The sequence below is a fragment of the Homo sapiens genome, chromosome 18, assembly GCF_000001405.40.
Source record: "Homo sapiens chromosome 18, GRCh38.p14 Primary Assembly".
Lineage (NCBI taxonomy): Eukaryota > Metazoa > Chordata > Mammalia > Primates > Hominidae > Homo > Homo sapiens.
Window position 1 is genome coordinate 37,031,386 of NC_000018.10, and position 15,935 is coordinate 37,047,320.

General features: G+C 35.4%; 1 protein-coding gene across 24 annotated transcripts in view; it reads left to right on the forward strand.

Moving 5' to 3' along the window:
• The window catches only part of KIAA1328, a 403,046-nt gene that overhangs the window by 202,259 nt on the left and 184,852 nt on the right, over positions 1–15,935 (forward strand). The gene's annotated exons all lie outside the window — the stretch shown is intronic.

Consider the following 15,935-nt stretch of genomic DNA (forward strand, 5'->3'; position numbering starts at 1 on the left):
TGCATTAACTTTTCTTATCACTTTCAAACATGCCTCTTTATCCCTGTTATTATCACTTCTTTTGAAATATACCTAATATGTTATTAATATAGCCACTTCAGCTTTTTTATAATTAGTATTTGTGGAATATGTCCTTTTCAGTCCTTCTACTTTTACTCCACCTTTGTCTTTAATAATTAAAGTAGGGCTTTCATAGATAGTGCATAGTTTGCTTTTGATTTATAATCTAGCCAGACTGTCTCTGGACTTATATTGGACTCTTTGGATCCTTTACCCTTGATGCAGTTATCAACTTGATGGAGTCTAGTTATATCACCTTTTAATTTATTTTCTATTTTTCACTGATTTTTCAGTTTCATATTTAGGGTTTTTTTAACCTTCTTTTAAATAATTGTTTAGTTTTAGTGTTTGTTATTTCTATTCTATACTCACTGTCTTTGTTTAATTTTTTAGTGGTTTTTCCAGGTTTGCAATATGAACCCTTAGAAGTCTATTTTTATGCTGGGTGTGGTGGCTCACACCTGTATTTGCAGCACTTTGGGAGGCTGAGGCGGGTGGATCGCTTGACTCCAGGAGTTCAAGACCAGCCTGGGCAACATGGTGAAACCCCATCTCTACAAAGAAAGAAACAAAAAAACTAAAATACTAGCCAGGTATGGTAGCATACTCCTGTAGTCCCAGCTACTGAGGAGGCTGAGGCAGGAGAATCTCTGGAGCCCAGGAGGCCAAGGCTACAGTGATCTGTGATTGTGCCACTACACTCCAGCCAGGGCAACAGAGCAAGACCCTGTCTCAAAAACAAAAAGTCTACTTTCAAGTAATATTTACCAGATCATGTGTGATGTCTAATGTATAACTGCATAAAAGAATGCTTCCATTTCCCACTTCCATTTGTTCTGTTATTATTGTCACATAATTTACTTCTACATGTGTTGTATACACCACAATTTTATTATTATTGCATTAAATTAATATTTTAAATAGATATGAAAAATATTGCTTGTATTTACATTTCTAGCAGTTTACATTCATTTTTATAGATCCTAGTTTTCATCTAGTATCATTTTATTTATACCTGGAGATAGATGTTTGTTTATGGTCATGCAGTTCTTCTGGAATAACTTTTTTCATCTTTCGTATCTATTTCACTTCGTTTTTAAAGGAATTTCTTTCTGACTTAGCAATTTGTTTTTTTTTGCTTCTATTCATCACTTTCATAATATTGTATCATTTCTCATTTCTTCTGGCTTTCATGATTTGTTTGTTTGTTTTTGAGATGGAGTTTCACTCTTGTTGCCCAGGCCAGAGTACAATGGCACGATCTTGGCTCACCGCAACCTCCGCCTCCCAGATTCAAGCGATTCTCCTGCCCCAGCCTCCCGAGTAGCTGGGATTACAGGCATGTGCCATCATGCCCAGCTAATTTTGTGTTTTTATTAGAGACAGGGTTTCTCCATGTTGGTCAGGCTGGTCTGGAACTCCTGACCTCAGGCGATCCACCCACCTCGGCCTCCCAAAGTGCCGAGATTACAGGCATGAGCCACCATGCCCAGCTGCATGTTTTTTAAATAAATGATATTCTGCCGTCATTCTTACTCTCTTCCTTTGTATGCAATGTATTTTTAAGCCTGCTTACTCTTATGATCTTTCTTCACTAGTTTTTAGAAATATGATAATGATGTGCTTGATGTTGCATGCGTTTATAATGTCAAATTTTTACTTTTCACCTATTAAATACCATTTGGTTATTTTAAATATCTTTTATTATCATTACATTCATGTTTTCCTTTAAATTCTTAATTATGATGAGCTTATTTATAATAGGACTTTTGAAATCCTCATGTGCTAATTCTATCATTTGTCATCTCCAGGTGTTTTTCTGTTGACTTACTAGTCAGATTTCATCATATATGTTGTAAGTTTTTATTAGATGCTTATCAACATAGATGTTACATTAATGATTATCTTGATTTTATTGTCTTCCTTTACAATGTTTATTCTGACAGGCATTTAAGTTGTTGGTAGATCAGATCTTTTTAAGACTTGTTTTTAAGCTTTGTTAAGGCTAGTCTGTAGGGTAGTCTTTTCTCTAACAACTGCTTAGCTCTTTCTGGTTTCTCAGTAAGATCGAGTGTCCTGGGATCAACCATTCTGACTAGACAAAACTTGAACATCTCCTTGTACTGTGTGACTTCTGGGAAGTGTTTCATTTACAACTCCCTGGTAACAACAATTTTCTAAACAGTTTGAGTTTCACTCTACATATGTGCAGTCTTAGCAAAACTCAAGAAGGCTTCTGTGCTGATTACTCAACTGTTTTTCTGTGTAGCACTCTCTTTTCTAAGGATTCTGTCATGCCATTTCTGGCCACCTCAACCTCCCGGAACTCTGCAGCAAGACTTCTATGCTGTGCTTAGGATTTCTCTCACTGAACGATAGTCTGGACTGTTTATCTAAATAAAAATTTATGTCTATTTTAGGGCTTAGCTCATTTGTTTGCCTTCTTTCAGGGATCATATACATACAGTGCCTGAATAGCTGAACGTATAAAATGTCTGAATATATAAAACAACTGGTTTCAGGCATTGTTCAGACCAGTTGTATATTTTGTCTAATTTTCTAATTTTTTCTCCTGGGTAGATAAGTGTGTTCCTTGTTACTCCAAAATACTCCAAAATAAAAATTCTCATTGAAACCATCTTTTAAATGTGTTGAATTTTAGCATACAAATTTAGTGTTAGTCTTAGGAAAACAAAGGCTTTATGGAGAGGAAAGTGTATCATGGGCATAATAAGTGCATAGTAATAAAACTTATGGGGATTACAGTATTAAATGATTTTTGCTGTTTTAAAGAAGTTGTAATACAAAAAAAGGTATATAACCTCCTGGGCCAAAAAGTACTTAAATGGGAAAATTTAGGGAAAGAGAAACTACACTTTCATCAGATTTGTTGTAACTTGTAATTAAAGAGAGCCCAAACTGATGTATAACAGGAGTCTTGTAAAGTATTTATTTTGAGAGCCTAAAATAATAAAATGGAATAAAGAGTTGAATAAGAACTACAGAAACATTTATTTTCTGAAATATTGGCTCTCAGGCTGGGAATCAAACTTACTGGTTTTACTCTAGGTTAAGTTCCTTTGGGCAAGTCTTTTAGCTTTATTAACATTTCCTTATTTGAATTACAGTTAACTCTTAATACAAATAACCTTGAGTTCACCCAGTAGAAGGTGCTTTCATCAGATATATCTCATTTGCAATGGTACAGTGCTTTGTAAATATCTATTAATACTCTTAAATAATAAAGAAATATGAAATATAGTTACTAACAGGTTAAAAATGCTCTGCATCCCAATGGTTTCTTTGTATTCTTGTCATAAATACATTTGGTCTTGAAATAAAAGCAAATTCAGATGAACTAGGAAGTAAAACATTCAGTCAACATTGTGAAACAAAAAAGCAATATGAGGTAACGTGGTACTGTGCAGGACTAAAGGTACATTGAAAAGTAATGGATATAAAATGTGAATAGAGAGGAAAGCATAAGAATTAGAAAAGACTCCATTTGATTTTCTTTTATTAGTTACCTATAGACCACCATGCAAGACCTTTAAGGAAAAGATAATTTATTGACAGAGGGTATTTACTTTAATGGAAAAGAATTATTTGTTCCAGTATTCTCAAAAGGATAATTGGTGATAGATATGTAGATATAGACCAGTCATAGGGGAGGAGGCCAGAGCAGGAAAGGAAATTGTGTGCACCTCATTGTATCAGGTGAGGGACTGAAAACATCTGAAGTGAATGCTTACCTCCCATAGCCAGGTGGAATCCATCATGATGCTAGAAGGTATTTGCTAGTGCAGTGGTTCTCAAAATGTGTTCCCCAGTCCAGCAGCATCAGCATCACCTGGGCACTTTTGAAAAATGCAAATCCTCAGGCCCTACTCCATACCTACTAAATTAGAAAGTCTGGAGGTGGAGCCCAGATATATGCATTTTAGCAAACCTTCCAGGTGAGTTTCATGAACACAAAAGTTTGAGAACCTCTGTGCTAGTGTAATGGAAATGTCATCTGTTATTCAAATTGCTGGTGAGTCTTTTACATGCAGTTTTATGGATGTGTTTTCCAAAATTATCTCATTGGGGCAGATAGGATTAGAAATATTTTCTATCAAAAGAAATGACCAGTGTGCTTAAATAACACAGCATTAGAAAATAGAGAAGAGTCTCCAAGATAGAAAATAAGCAAAACTCAACTTCACGTCCCCGAATCTCTTCCCGTATTATAGTTTTATCCATTCTTGTATGATGTGATTTTTTTCTGAGATTGATCTGTGTTAAGAAGATTTAAACTAATTTTGGTTTGGTGTAAGATAATCAAATATGCTGTTTTCAGCACACACAATAAAAGAGTCCTTTAAGCTTAAAAGGGTTATAAAACCAGTTTGAAATGTACTAAAGTGAGACATTTTATCAATACAACTTCTTCTGACTTAAGTGTTACTCTTTTTTTCTCTCTCTCCTTTCTTCTACTCCTCTCTGTTCTCTTCCATTCCTTACTACTTCTCCATGCCACCTAAGCTTTCTCTCCTGCCTTTGCCTCAAATCAAAGTATGCCTTCAGAGAAGATAATTCTATGTTTAGAGTCAGATTTAGATTTAAGAATAGTAGAAAGGTATTATCTGAATGGCTACTTCTGTTGTCCCAGTAATGGCCAAAAAAAGGGTCACCTTATTACGTAAGCATTTGATTACAGATCTTGGTGCTGCCTTGCGTCTTTGCTCAGAAAACTGCTCTGTGAAAGAAACCACACTTGGTTTGAGTTGTTTCTGGAGCATTGAAAGGTAACGTTGTTACATCCAAATTTAGAGACTTATAGGAAAGAAGCAGTTTGTCCTGACCTTCTCTCTGTAAGAGAAAGTTTTTGTTCACAAAGTAATTAAAAACAGACTGGACTAAGGTTTCATTTAAACCACTCTATCATTAGGACTTAGCTACTAAGCCTGATATAGACCCTGAATGCTGTCTATCTTTATTGAAGTTGTGCCAGTCTTCCTAGGTGAGACTGATTGGTAGAAGCCTTTTACATACAACTCATTTGGACAGATGGTCTGTATTAAACAGATGATGACTATTTGGCATGTACAGCTATTCCATACAATTTGAGTTGATTAGTTCTTGTTGAGACACGCAGAAACATGAAGACTGTTGCCAGTAAGCCTGGTCCATGCTCACAGCCACCTGCTCTTTTTATTTGGGGTCATTGCCTGGGCTGTCCTCCTAGTTTAAATGCCCAAAGGCCACCCTCTTTCCACATGAAAACTGTCATGCAAGTTCAGCTTTGTGTTGTTTACATGCACACACACACATACACACCTGAAGTCACATTTTAGGACAGTTTTCTGTGAGCAGGGCCTCCCATTTTCTGGTTCAAATTTAGTCTAGATTAAAGAACTAATTTATTTTTTGTGCTTTTCAAGCTGTTGCAAATAACAAAATAGCTTGATCATCCTAATTATGACATCAGCCAAAATATGCTGAAGAGTTATACCTCACAATGATATACAGACCCTAAGAAACCATATATTAAAATTTTCTTGTAGTAATTTTTTGAATTTTCATCATCACTCTTAGCAGTAAAGAAAGCAACATCTGGCCCAGTATTTGAAGTGCTTGTATTTTCTGTTGTCTTTAGTAAATTTTATTTATTTTTACCTGTTTTCTACAAACTGTACTGTTCATTGGTTATATATTGCCGTAACTATTATATAGGGATTTGTATAAAAAAATCTTTCCTCAAATCAAATGACTTTTCAGCTAATCGACTCTAAAAGGCCCATCTGAAATGAGATAAAGTTGGAGGGTGGCTCTCTCACATTAATGACAGGTTACATATCTTAGTAAGTGGGATCTTGTAAGAATGGCAGAAAGAAATCCTAAGGCAAGTACCAGAGGCCATAAGGGTTCATTTAGTTACTGTAATTCACCCCAATTACCCTTCATTATATAGCTTTATTTTTATTGTCTTTATACCACTTACCATTGACCTCATAATTTAGTTTTTTTACTTTTTTGTCTCTTTCCACTAGAATATGGGTTTTTATTAGAGCAGGCTCTTTGTATTCACTGATGATTCCACAATACCTAGAACACACTTTATAGATGGTCAGTATCCAATAAACATTACTAAATATATGAAAGAAGGTTGTCTTTCGCCAGGCATGGTGGCTCACGCCTGTAATCCCAGCACTTTGGGAGGCTGAGGCAGGTGGATCACCTGAGGTCAGGAGATCAAGACCAACCTGGCCAATCTGGTGAAACCCCATCTCCAGCCTCCACCCTAATCTTTTTAATATACAAATGGGTTTTCTACCTGGCCAGACCATGTTGTCTGCTCCTTACTATACATATGGTTGAGAAAAGGGAAGATGGGCCAGGCACTGTGGCTCACACCTGTAATCCCAGCACTTTGGGAGGCCGAGGCAGGCTGATCACGAGGTCAGGAGATTGAGACCATCCTGGCTAGCACGGTGAAGCCTGGTCTCTACTAAAAGTACAAAAAATTAGCTGGGTGTGGTGGCACGCGCCTGTAGTCCCAGCTACTCGGGAGGCTGAGGCAGCAGAATGGCGTGAACCCAGGAGGCAGAGGTTGCAGTGAGGTGAGATCGTGCCACTGCACTCTAGCCTGGGTGGCAGAGTGAGACTCTGTCTCAAAAAAAAAAAGAAAAAAGAAAAGGGAAGATGGCTGCCATGTCAAACACGCCTAGCCCACAGGTAGCCTTTTTCTGTTGGCACAGCTGCTGGCATTTACCTGTGCAAGCTTTTAGCTTGCTTATCTATGCTTGCAGCTTGATTTTTCAGGCTGCTTTTCGTTTGGGAAGAAATAACTTGGGGCTGCTTTTTATAAAAAAGGAAACCTTACCGAGGACTTTCTTACCCTCACTATCTGCCTAAATAATTTCTTTTTAACTCCTATATCAGAAGTCTTATACTTCTTTAGTTAACTTTATTCCTATAAATTTTATTCATTTTGATGCTATTCTGAATGTAATTTTATTAATTTTATTTTCAGATTGTTTATAATTAGTATATTAAAATATAGTGGATGTTTGTGTAAGATTGCTTATAGTTAGTATATAAAAATATAATTGATGTTTGTGTAATTGATCTTGTACTCTGTGACCTTGCTGAACTTATTATTTCAGTAGTTTCATTTTGTTTATAGATTTCTTAGGATTTTCTACATAAAGGATTATGGCACCTGTGAATAAAATGTTTCACTTTCTTTTCATAATGTATGTCTTTTTTTTTCTTGCCTTATTGCACTGAATAGAACTTTTAGTACAGTGTTGATCAGAAGACGTAAGAATACACATATGTGTTTTGTTTCTGATCTTGGAGGAAAAGCATTGTCTTTTACCATTTCACTATTAAGTACATTAAATGAAACATACAGCTGCAGGTTTTTTATAGATTATCTTATAATTGAGAAAGCTGTGTTCTTCCTAGTTTTTTGAGAGTCTTTATCATAAGTAGATGTTAAATTTTGTTGGATGCTTTTTCTGTTTCATGGAGATGATCTTTTGGTTTTGGGGTTTTGCTCTTCATTCTGCTGATACATTACATGAATTAGTTGTTTGACAATAAACCAACCTTACATTTCTGGAATAAACCTCACTTGATCATTGTATATAAGTCCTTTTTTCTTATATGGGATTTCATTTGCTAATATTTTGTTGACAGTTTTTAGGTCTACATTCCTAGGAATATATTGGTCCTTGTTTTTCTGTGAGATCTTTGTATATTTTTGGTATTATGGTAATACTTGTCTCTTATAATATGTTTAACAGTATTTCCTCCTCTATTTTCTGCAAATTTGTGAATGATTATTATTGTTAATTCTTTAAATATTTGATAGAATTAACTAGTAAAGACATCTAGGGCTGAGTTTTTTCTTTTGTGGAAATGTTTTTTTCAATACCAATTCAGTTTTTTCTTTGAGGTTCTGTTAGGTTTTGTTTTTGTTTTTAATTTTTTTTTTTTGAGGCGGAATCTCGCTCTGTTGCCAGGCTGGAGTGCAGTGGCGCAATCTCGGCTCACTGCACCCTCCTCATCCCAGGTTCAAGCAATTCTCCTGCCTTAGCCTCTTGAGTAGCTGGGACTACAAGCGAACGCCACCACGCCCAGCTAATTTTTGTATTTTTAGTAGAGATGGGGTTTCACCATGTTGGCCAGGATGGTCTCAATCTCTTGACCTCGTGATCCGCCCGCCTCGGCCTCCCAGAGTGCTGGGATTACAGGCATCAGCCACCACACCCTGCCTGTTAGTTTTCTATGTGAAACAGATTATAACAAACTTAGCAGCTTTTTCATTATATTATCTATTAATTATCTAGTCCTGTAGGTCAGAAGTCCGGTTGAACTTCACTGGGTTCTCCACTGGGGATACTACAGACGTGAAATGTAGGTGTCTGTTAAACTGGTCTCTTATTTGGACACTCTTGGGAAGAATCTGCCTCCTAGCTCATTCAGGTTTTGGCAAAATTCAGTTCCTTGCAATGTAGGGCTGAGGTCTGCTTTTCCTTGCGGTCTTCCATCTGAGGGCCACTCTCATCTTAATAGAGGCTGCACACATTTCTCTACACCTGGCCCCCACCATCAAGCCAGCAACAGCAGGTCAAATCCTTCTTATGCTTCAAATCTCATTGACTTCCCTTTTGCCACCACTCTTAGAAAACTTTTGTTTTAAGGGCTTGTGTGATTAGACTAGGTCCATCTGAATGATCTTTTTTTGCCATGTGATGCAATGTAATTATGGTTAGTAGCAACAAAGATGAAGATCATGTGGGCCATCTTAAAATTTTGACTATTTGACTACTTACGAGTCTATTCAGATTTTCTATATTTTTTGAGTTAAATTCAGTAACTTACCTTCTATTAGTAATCTGTTTCATCTAAGTTGTCTGATCTGTTGCCATGTATTTTCCATAGTATTTCTTTCAATTTCTATAAGGTCAGCAGTCTGACTTTATGGTCTCCTCTTTAATTCCTGATTTTAGTAATCTGTCTCTTGTTTTATTTTATTAATAAGTGTAACTAAAAGTTTATCAATTGTGTTAATCTTTTCCAAAACTAACTTTGGATTTCATTGATTTTTTTCCAATTTTGTTTTTGTTTTCTCTAATAATTTTTATTTTCTCTCCTGCTTGCTTTGGTTTCACTTTGTTCTTTTTCTAGCTTCTTAATTTAGAAGCTTATGTTATTGACTTAAATCTTTTTTTTTCCTTTTCTGATATAGATGTTTAAAGCTATAAATCTAAATGCTGCTTTGGCTGCACTAAATATTAATTTTGGTATTCATTGTTTTTATTTTTACTCAGTGAAAATATTTTCTTCCTTCCCCTTTGACTTCCTTTTCAATCCATGATTTTAGATGTATATTAATTTTTAAATATTTGGGGATTTTTCCAAAATGTTGTTGTTGATTTCTGATTTAAATCTATAATGATTGGAGAATATATTTTCTGTGATTTCAATTCTTTTAAATTTGTAAATTTTTAACAAATTTTTTAATTTTAAAAAAATTAAAATTTTTAAAGACTATTTTATATGTTATTAAAAATAATGTGTATTCTGCTATTGTTGGGTAGAGCAATCTATAGATAACAGTTCAGTCAAGTTGATTAGTAGTATTGTTCAAATCTTTTATACTTTGCTGATTTTTTGTTTAGTTGTTCCAGCAAGTATTGAAAATGGTATATTGAAGACTGATGCTTGTTATTATAAAGTTGTTTCTTTTTCAATTTTGTCAATTTTTATTTCATGTGCCTTGGGACTCAGTTGTCAGACTTACATATATTTATAATTATTATGTCTTTCTTATTAATTTACCATTTTATCAGTATGAAATGACCTTCTTCATATATAGTAATGTTTCAAGCTTAAAGTTTGATATTAGTATAGCTACTTCATTTCTCTTTTATTTACTATTTGAATGATGTATCTTTTTCCATCCTTTTACTTTCAAGTTATTTATATATGAATCTGAAATGTATTATGGACCACATACATTTGGACCTTCTTATTTTATCTAGTTTGACAATCTTTGTCTTGTGGTTGAATGACTTAATTTATTTGCATTTAATGTAATTGTGATATGGTTGGATTTATGTCCTCTATTTTGCTGTTTTATTTTCTATATGCCCATCGATGTCTTACTCTTGTACTCCTTCCTTACTGCCTTTTTTGTGTTTGTGTGTGTGTGTGTGTGTGTGTGTGTGTGTGTGTGTATACACATTTTGTATAACATTTAAATTCCTTTACTGTTTTTTGGTGCTTCTAAAAATCATTGCTTTAGGGATTGCAATATGCTTCTTAACCTATTACAGTCTTCTTAAGGTGAATACCAACAGTATTCCAATAAAATATAAACTTTGTTTCAATGTAACATTTACTCCTCTATTTGCTGTGCTGTTATTTTCATACAGATAATATTTTTATGTTTTGTTTATTTTATTTTTTGAGACAGGGACTTGCTCTGTCACCCAGCCTGGAGTGCAGTGGTGCAATCACAGCCTCAACTTCCCAGGGTCAGGTGATTCTCCCACCTCAGCATCCAAGTAGCTGGGACTACAGGCATGCACCACCACACCTACCTAATTTTGTTTGTTTGTTTGTTTGTTTGTTTTTTGTAGAGTTAGGTTTTCACCGTGTTGCCCAGGCTGGTCTCGAACTTCTGGGCTCAAGTGATGCACCCACCTTGACCTCCCAAAATTCTGGGATTGCAGGGATGAGCCACTGCACCTAGCCATATATTTATGTTATAATCCCAACAATACTGTTTTATACTTAATTATTTTACGTAATTGTCTTATAAGGTAATTAAGAATACATATATACCTTTACCTACAAGATGATCTTTTCTGGTATTCATTATTTCTGTAGACTCAAGTAACTGGTGTAATTTCTTTCTAACCTAAAAGATTTTCTTCAGCATTTCTTATAAAGGCAGCTCTACCAGCAGCTATTCTTTCAGTCTTTTTGTCATTGGTTTATTTTGTTTTTAAATATGTGGATGTCTATTTTGCCTTCATGCCTTCATTTTTGAAGGTTAGTTTTGCTGGATATAAAATTCTTAGTTGACAGTTTATTTTTTTCAAAACTTTGAATATGTCATCCCACTGCCTTTTGGCTTCATTGTTTCTCATAAGATGTCAGCTGTTAAATGTAATGTTCTCTGTGTGTGAAGAGTCATTTCCCTTGCTCCTTTGGAGAATTTCTCATTGTCTTAGCTTTAGATAGTTTGACCAGGACTTATCTAGGTGTGGATCTCTTTGTGTTTATCCTACTTACAATTTGTTGAGCTTCTTCGATGTGCCGATTAATGTTTTTCTGGTCAAATTAGGATGTTTTTGACTATAACTTTTCCAAATATTTTTCTGACACTTTATCTCTCTCCTCTTCTTCTGGCTCTCCCGTTTCATGTATCTAGATATGCTTTGTCTCCCACAGGTCTCTGAGACTGTTAGTTTTTATCATTCTTTTTTCTTTCTACTCTTTAGGTTAAATAATCTCTATTAATCTGTTTTTAAGTTCACTGATTCTTCTGCTGTTTCCCTTCTGCTGTTGAGACCACCTTCTGAATTTTGCACTTAATTTTTTGTACTTTTCAATGCTAGCATTTCCATTTGGTTCTTTGTTGTAAAAAAAAATTCTCTCTCTTTATTGAGATTGTCTATTTGTTGCCATTGTTGTACTTACCTTTAATTCTTAAAATGTTTTCTTTTAGATCTTTCAACACATTTATTATAGCTGCTTTGAAGTTTTTCTTTACAAGTCCAATATTTGGGCTCCCTCAGAAACAGTTCCACTTTCTATTGATTGGCTTTTTTTCCCCCCAAGTATGGGTCACTCTTTTCTGTTTCTTTGCACTTCTTGTAATTTTTTATTTGAAAACTGGACATTTGATGTGATATATTATAACATCTTAGGCTTCTGATTCTTTCTCTCGAAAGTTGTTATTGCTGTCATTTTGTTGTTTTAGTGACTTGCCTGGATGCATTCTGTAGGGTTTGTCTCCCCTGCAACATATGTCCACTGATGTCACTACTCAACCTTTTTTTTCTCTTAAGCCTAGCTTCATAGAGGATTGCCCTGAGTCAGCATAGCTTAATTTGAAAACAGATGATTATTGTTAATAAATTTTGCTCTAACAACTCAAGTCATTCTGGCTTCAACCCTTTGTCACTGATCCTGTCTGAGAGTTGAGCAATGCCTTTACTTTCTGCTATTCCTTCTCATGTCTTCTCTGTATTTGAGCAAGATATCATGTTCAAACAGAGACACTTAGATAATTAAGGCCCTCTTTTAGTCTGTACTGAATGTGCACACAGACTTGAGCATGTATTCCTCCTTCTATGCCACCCAGTATATAGGAAGCTTATCAAGACTCCCTGTTGCTGTCTCGTTCCCCAGTGTCCTTGTTAAATATCTGACTGCCAGACACCTACCTGCCTCATCCAGTCAGTTCTGCTATAAGGTAACTTAAGTATTTCTAAAAGTAACCATGGTATGCAAAATCATACAATAAAAACACAGGGTTTATGGAGGAAAGTACCATATTTTAAGATATCTCAGATGTCAAACATCGAGTGTAATAGTGTTCACGTTTAATTTAACAAACTATAGACCAAATACTTCAAGTTTTTGCTTCTCAACTTTCCTTAAAGCTCTGTTTAGCATTCACTTTTTGAGGTTGGGGTTGAGGGAATTCCTAGACCATTGTTTGATTATAATGTAATTGTTTTATTATAATTCTAGGGAATTTTAGACTATTGATTCAAAGTGTTCCTTTTCATCTTCATTAAGATTTATAGTGGTAGTTCCTGGAATTATGGGGAATGCAGACATTTTTTTCAAGAACAGTAACTATGGATCCTATCCGTCATCTCCCTTCCTTTATTGGGAGTTGGAGCTGATAGGAACGTGGTAAAGGAAAGGAGTATATTCAGGTCTCCTATAAGATGACATATATATTTCTAAAAATAACCAAGCTATGCAAAACCACATAGTAAAAAACACAAGGCTTGTGTGGGAAATGATATTGGGCCAAAAAACTCAAAATTTTAGGCCAGACATGGTGGCTCATGCCTGTAATCCCAGCACTTTGGGAGGCCAAGGCAGGTGGATCAACAGGTCAGGAGTTCAAGACCAGCCTGGCCAAGATGCTGAAACCTCATCTCTACTAAAAATACAAAAAAAAATTAGCTGGGCATGGTGGCAACACACCTGTAATCCCAGCTGTTTGGGAGGCTGAGGCAGAGAATTTCTTAAACCCAGAGGCAGAGGTTGCAGTGAGCCGAGATCGCGCCACTGCACTCCAGCCTGGGCGACAGAGTAAGACTCCGGCTCAAAAAAAAAAAAAAAAATTCAAAGCAACAGTTTAAAAAAATGAGAACCTTATGAAAATAGCAGCAAAGTTTCACACTTGTTAAAATGTTAAAAATAAATACGATAAATATATATACAATCAGTATGGCAGTCCACCTTGAAACAGACTTGAAGTTTAAGTGGGTATGATAAGAGTTGTATCTTGTAAGTTATTGTCAAGTAGTGGAAGTTGGGTTTTCAGAGAGAAGAAAGAAATTTATATTACCAGATTTGGAAGATTGACCTGGGTTAGGAGTTAGCACTAAAAATCTCAGTAAGAATTCTTTTCTCCTTAATTCCTGAGGGATATTTTTTTGAATTTGAAATAGAGGTCTTTTGAGGTATACCTTTATAATAAATACCTGTTTTAACAAAATGGAAAATTTAATCCAACGTGTAGCCTTCTTCAGTTAACTCCTGTATGGCTGCTAGAAATTTTTGCAACTTCTCAGCTACACTTGTAGCCTTACCAAGCAGCTGCAGTGCTGTTTGAAACCACTAATCCAGGTATTATTAGCATGAAAAGGAGCCACTTCTACAAGATTAATGATTTACATTTAAGGTCTTTCTGTATAAATAGTGCTTCCTTTTTGTGAAATCAATTATTTTGTTCTTTGGTCTTCATTTCAAATGCTTACCAAGCATTCCATTTCTTTTTTTTTTTCTTTAGGCTGTTTTCTTTTTTAAAAATTTTTTGTTCTGCAAGTTTCCGTCATCTCATAGACTGTTTCCTTATTGACTTCATAGTACTTGAAGTTATATCAGTCATAATCTTAAAACAAATTTTTGCTGAGTTGTCTGATAATCCTCAATGCAGATTCCTTAATGTTTATTGCTCAGCAGGTATCAGATTCTCCTGTTTCTTTCAGAATACTTTACTATTTCAGGCTTCTCAATATTTGAAGCCTTCCTTTTACATGTACTGTTTGATGGTTTTGACCAAGATGTTCAGGCATTTGGGAGATGTTAATTGAGTATTTTCTTACATTCCAAAGTTCACAAATATGAAAGAATAGCATGGTATGACTTTGTAGTATAACACATGTGAGGAACCAAGATAAATGTTGGTTGTTTCAGATGTGCAATTTTGTAAATTCCACTGTTGCTCATATCAGGTGGGTGCAAGTCTATGTGTTCACCTAGTGTTTTGCCAAAAAGAATTGTGTTTAAGCAAACATGAAATTTGCATTGTGTTCAGATTTTTCTCGAATATATGAATCATGTTGAAACAGGTCCACCTTTTCAGAACAATGTTTTACACCTGAACTGACTGTATTCTAGATAATTTAGGTCAGTGCATCCCAAACTAAATGGTCTGTGGTGAAGGGCTATGTTTGGGTTTTTTGTTTGTTTATAATCTTCATGGACTGAAACTTTTGTAAAAATTTTTGTTAATAATTTCAACAGCCATAAATTATATTTCAGTTAACAGTCTGGCTGTTATCATTGAGAAAAATGACTAACTCAGTCAGGGACTGAATTAATTTAATGTTTGATGTTAGTTTTGATGAGGGCTTTTCTATTTTTTATTTTATTTTTAGATGGCTTTTCATCTAAGAATAAACGTGAAAGCCTTGGGTTTTTGAACAGGTTCTCTCTTTCTTGGTAAGCCCTGAAATCCAAATGTTGTTTCCAACCCTGTGAGACTACTTAAAGCTCCTCTTGGCTCCTCCACTAGCACTTCTTTTACATTTTAAATTAAATTTCTTTTAAAATGTCTTGAACAGAAAAGCAATGACTAATGTTAAGGTCATCTTTTTTTGCTTACCTTCTATCTGAAATCTTGGCTCTTTCATGTTCTCAACACCTTGGTAACACTTCAGTGCCTTCAAACTAATTTTAAAAAATATTTTTTCCTATCATTCATTCTTGCAGGAAGTATGCAAAAATTGCATTATTATCCGCAATAGATTGTGCCTAAACATTTTGAGAATTTTGCTCTCCTAGACCCTGAAGAAATTTTATAGAGTACTTAATCTACAAATTTTAGAAAGGTTGTTGGTGCCTGATTTTTACATAAAAAGGTAGTTCCAGCTGGGCGCGGTGGCTCACACAGGTAATCCCAGCACTTTGGAAGGCCAAGACGGGTGGATCACCTGAGGTCAGTAGTTCGAGACCGGCATGGCCAACACAGTGAAACCCCATCTCTACTAAAAATACAAAAAATTAGCTGGGTGTGATGGCACATGCCTGTAGTCCCAGCTACTCGGGAGGCTGAGGCAGGAGAAACACTTGAACCGAAATCGCGCCACTGCACTCCAGCCTGGGTGACAGAATGTGTGGTTCCTTTTTGTGCCTTGGCTAGGTATCTACCATCTGCCTAGTCTCCTGAATCTCCAAAGATTGTTCAATATAACTTGCAGATTGGAACATTTTAATTTTAATACAATTATTTCAGTTTAGGCTGTTAGTTTTGTGGTCTATTGTAGGCCTTCCTTTTTGTCTTCTACTATCTCTCCATGTAAACTTCGTGTTTTGATTCCTTTGGGTACTGAGATAATCTG